The sequence below is a fragment of the Homo sapiens genome, chromosome 3 (assembly GCF_000001405.40).
Source record: "Homo sapiens chromosome 3, GRCh38.p14 Primary Assembly".
Lineage (NCBI taxonomy): Eukaryota > Metazoa > Chordata > Mammalia > Primates > Hominidae > Homo > Homo sapiens.
In genome coordinates, this window is record NC_000003.12 from 148,253,051 (window position 1) to 148,258,104 (window position 5,054).

The 5,054-nt window shown below is 38.1% G+C and overlaps 2 annotated features.

Moving 5' to 3' along the window:
- Positions 3,192–3,486: an enhancer, noted in NCBI's record as "tiled region #10294; HepG2 Activating DNase matched - State 5:Enh". NCBI's record gives its function as "activates a minimal TATA promoter and a strong SV40 promoter by Sharpr-MPRA in HepG2 cells {active_cell/tissue: HepG2}" and the evidence as "EXISTENCE:reporter gene assay evidence [ECO:0000049][PMID:27701403]".
- Positions 3,192–3,486: a silencer, noted in NCBI's record as "tiled region #10294; K562 Repressive non-DNase unmatched - State 24:Quies". NCBI's record gives its function as "represses a minimal TATA promoter and a strong SV40 promoter by Sharpr-MPRA in K562 cells {active_cell/tissue: K562}" and the evidence as "EXISTENCE:reporter gene assay evidence [ECO:0000049][PMID:27701403]".

A 5,054-nucleotide genomic window follows, 5' to 3' on the forward strand; every position in this document is an offset into this window, starting at 1 on the left:
GTCAAGTTATCAGGCTAGAGGTTACTTTACAAGAAAAGCTTTCTCTGATTTTCTGTTTAATAAACTCCCACCCACACCCTGATTTAGAAAAACAGAACAATGGCTGCAAAGAGATGTGAGTTCAGTGGGAGACAGTATCACATGTTTGCAAACCAGAGACAATTATCATGTAGAGGGGGAAAACAATGCAGGAGTGAAGTTTCTGAGTAGGTTAGAGGAAAACTCAAGTGGAGTTGGCTTCAGATAAAAGGACTAGTAGTTAATACACATAACCAGAGGGATGGCAAAATACAAGGGTCTAGGTGCAGGGCATTTGGCAAACCAAATAATAGCAACAATTGCAAAGTTCTTCTGATTGCTTCTATTTTGTCAGTGAAACAAAAAATAAGTCATTGTCTGATACTCTGGAGAAGGAGGAGGCATCAGAGATTTGAAGTGAAAGGAAGAAGTGTGAAATCATTGTTTAAGGGAAAATGGGAAATGAAATGTCCAGGGAAATATCAAACAGGATGTCTATTAAGTAGCCCTAAAGGTCCCACTTAAGAGTTTTGTGGTCAAGAATTTAATGTGAGATGGTTAATTATGTTATGGTCTCCTCTGGCAATACTCAGCTAAATAGATACAAGCACCATGTAGTTAAAGAATTGGATGTAACTAGAGTTGGGACTGTGTTGGGAAGATATTATTTGGTAAGAGACTAGCAAAGGAATTCATTCAAAGAGGTGTTGCTAAAGGTAGACTATAGAATCCAAGGTTGGTAAAAAGATAGTGACAGTGAAAAGCTCATAGAGATAATGGACTAGAGGTCCTGGTGGTGCAAAAGAATAAAAACCTTATCAAGCAAAAAAAATATGGCTACAATATTAAGTCAATATTTGTAGTCAAATACTGACTTAGGACTGTAAAAAATTAGAGTGCAGCTTTGTATGCTTTTTTCATTCCGACAAAACTTTTTCCATTTAACTCTTCTCTTTTTTTGAGACAGGGTCTTCTACTGTCACCCAGGCTGGAGTCCAGTGGCGCCATCTCAGCTCACTGCAACCTCCACCTCCCAGGTTCAAGGAATTCTGCTGTCTCAGTCTCCCGGGTAGCTGGGATTACAGGTGCCCACCACTATGCCTGGCTAATTTTTGTATTTTTAGTAGAGACTGGGTTTCATCATGTTGGCCAGGCTGGTCTCAAACTCCTAACCTCAAGTGATCGGCCTGCCTCAGCCTCCCAAAGTGTGGGGATTACAGGTGTGAGCCACTGTGCCCGGCCCCTTCATCTCTTCTTAAAGCAGAGCTAACTGAATAGGAAAGGAAATATGTGTGGAAGCGTAGGGATGGGTGCATAAAGGAAAAAAAAAAAAAGAAAGAAAGAAAAGTAAGAAAATCTCCAATTTAAAGGAGTTCCTGAGACCCTACGGGCTCAGAATAAAACAGATCATCCATTGGGGCATAAGAAGAGCGATTTACCTCAAGCAGCATTTAAGTCATGACCATTGCCCCTTCTGGGTGGGCAATGAGACTGTCTTTCCTGTGACTCCCCACAGCACCTAGTACAGTGCTCATTATCTTTAATAGATTATTAACCAACAAGGGCAGAATACAAAGGGAAAATCTTTTGCCAAGGTCATTTTCTTTTTTAAAAAAATTGTACTCCTGCTTCAGTTTGTTAAAGCAAGGGCCAGAAATAGTGTGTAGAATTTCCAATTACAGCACAAGATCACTCTTCTAAACTCATATTCTCACACAATTTCTTTAGAAAGTGATATTTTAGAGATAAGAAAATGAGGTGCATATATTTATGCTATTAAATTAAATAATGTAAGACCTAGGTACAGTAGTTTCACAGAATTTTTCCAACATTGTTATACACAAAATTACCTGCTAGCTAATATTTTAAACCTGATAATTTAAAAACCCCATAATATCACCATTAGAAATTTACTAGTTTATCAGGCAATAAAAATACTTACAAAATCAAAGGCAGAATTAGCCTAAACAGGGTTGTATGTAAAGATGATTTTTTAAGAGACAAGTTTATTTGTCTTTTCCTTTTTTTCAGCATCACTAATACAGTTTTGAAAGTTTATCTTTAAATTAAAAGAAGTGTGAAGGGAAACAAAAATTCCACATCTGATGTTCTAAATTTTAGCTTGCTTTTATTATTTCTACAGAGCAGTATTGTCTAACTAAGAATAGTCTATCAATATTAGAACAAACAAGCTAGTAAAGTGGCCCAGCTCTTTCCCAGGTGGATTCACATCACATGGAATGATTATGTCACAAAGTGTGCTCAGTCCCATATACCTCCCTATCCTTTCTATGAGTTACATGGAAAGCCCCACTTTTGGAGACGGTCTAGGTTCAAATTTTGCCTCAGAGATGTAGGTCAAGGTGAGCTGGATAGATGGCAGTTTTCCAAGGGCCCTCTCTCACATACCATTTGCAAGATATGATCCCCTCCACTGCTAGAGTTCCTCTAGAGGAAGAGCTCTGTGAGATGAGAGCCAAGTCCCTGAAAATGCAAAAAGACAGAAGACCAAATGCTGAAGACCATGTCATGAGCCCTGAATGCTTGAGCAAACAAGAAAGCAAGGATCTGAGTCTGAGCTATAACCACATTCACGTGGAGCCTAGACTAGGGCTCACCAGCGGGTCTTGACAGACTTTAGGTTAGCAATATTGAGCATATGGAAAAAGAAACACATTATAACATGTAAAAATTAGTAAAAAGTATACTTATAATAATGTACTCCTAAAAATGTCCAGAACGGCATTTTATTCTTCTTAGAAAAATAATGTTTATTGAAGTAAAATTAGAAATGGCAAAGAGAAGGAAAAATAATTTAATACCCTGCCAAGAGATACATGCATATTTTCCTAAAAAACTGGAGTTATTGAATAACAATGTTTGATCTTGGTTTTGTCACTTAATATATCTAGAATCCCATTTTAAAGTATTATTCATCCATTAATATATTATGTGTTACCTTAATGCTGAATAAATCAAGGTATTCAGTCCATGTTATTAACACTCTATTGTTAAATGTTTGGGTGGTTTCACTGTTGTCATATGCATCTGCAATAATTTCTGACACGAACTCCCTGCAGAGGTCAAATTTCACTGGCTAAGGACACAGGTCTTCACAAGACTGCCCTTACTCAGACACCACGAGCCACAAATTTGGGGGCCTCCAGGCCACTTTCATTTTAACCAGCTGGCTACAATTTGGAAGTTCTCACTCTCCCCTCAGGTTTCACAATTCTATAGAATGATTCACAGAACTCAGGAAAGCGTTATACTTCTTATTATAGTTTTGTTATAGCAAAAGAACACAAATTGGTATCAGCCAAAGAGAGCCATAAGGCAAAGTCCAGCAGGGTTCCAAACACAAAGCTTACATTGTCCTCAGGAATGCATTACCCTCCCGGCACATCAACGTGTGATAATACACAGAGTGCTGCTGATCACCTAAGCTCACCTAAACTTCAGTGTCAGAGTCTATTGAGGCTTCATTACTAGGTATAATTGCTTGAATAATTGACCATGCAGTTAAACTCAATCTCTAGTCCCCACTTCCATCACAGGATGTCAGGCTGATATCATGTGGCTCAAAATCTCAATCCTTTAATTTCATGGTTGATCTTTCTGATGTAGTCAGCCCCCATCCTGAGTCATTTCACAATCTGATAGGTGCAAAATAGTATTTCACCATGATTGTACTTTGTATGTTTTGATTACTAGTGAGTGGAAACATCTCTTCATACCTTCTTAACCATTTAGTTTCCTACTTTGAATTGCAGGTTTATATCCTTGCCCATTTTTTTACTATTCTGGATTATCAGATGTACTTTTGTATATTTTAAGTATTTATCTCTTGTTTTTAGGCATTACTAATACTTCCGCTTTAACCACTTTTGCTTTTTTTAAGGTGTCTTTCATTGAACGGAGATCTTTAATCTAATATAGTTAAATAAATTCTTTCTCCTTAAGATTTGCATTTTTGCAGCTGTCTGTAGGAAGACTTTTCTTTCTTCAAGATTGCAAGGGTATTCTATATTTTCTTCTATTAATTTTATAATTTTCTTTTTTCATGCTTAGGTCTTTAATCCATATGGAGTGAACCTTTGAATATGTTGTAAGAAAGAGATTCAAACTTTCCCAACCACATTGTGTACCAGTTTTTCCAATATTAACATCTAAATGATTTATTCTTTCTCCATCGGTTTGTGTTACATGTCAATTCTCATACATATTAATGTTTTTGAGCCTTCTATTTCTGATATGGTTTGGCTGTGTCTCCACCCGAAATTTCATCTTGAATTGTAATCCAAATTGTAATCCCAACATGTCAGAGGCAGGACCTTGTGGGAGGTGATTAGATCATGGGGGCAGTTTCCCTATGCTGTTTTCATGATAGTGAGTGAGTTCTCATGAGACCTGATTATTTTATTAGGGGCTTTTCCCCTCTTCACTCTGCACTTTCCTGTTCTGTCACCCTATGAAGAAGGTCGTCTTTGCTTCCCTTTGTGCCTTGATTGTAAGTTTCCTGAGGCCTCCCCAGCCCTGTGGAACTGTGAGCCAATTACAACCTCTTTATAAATCACCCAGTCTTGGGCAGTCCTTTACAGCAGTGTAAGAATGAACTAATACAGTAAATTCGTACTGAGGTAGTGGGATGCTGCTATAAGGATACCAGAAAATGTGGAAGTGGCTTTGGAACTGGTTAACAGGCAGAGGTTGGAACAGTTTGCAGGGCTCAGAAGAAGACAGGAAAATGTGGGAAAGTTTGGAACTTCCTAGAGACTTGTCAAATGGCTTAGACCAAAATGCTGACAGTGATATGGACAATGAAGTCCACGCTGAAGTGGTCTCAGATGGAGATGAAGACCTTGTTGGGAACTGGAGTAAAGGTCACTCTTGCTATGCGTTAACAAAGAGACTAGTGGCATTTTGCCCCTGCTCTAGAGATCTGTGGAATGTTAAACTTGAGAGAGATTATTTAGGCTATCTGGTGGAAGATATTTCTAAGTGGCAAAGCTTTCAAGAGGAAGCAGAGCATCAAA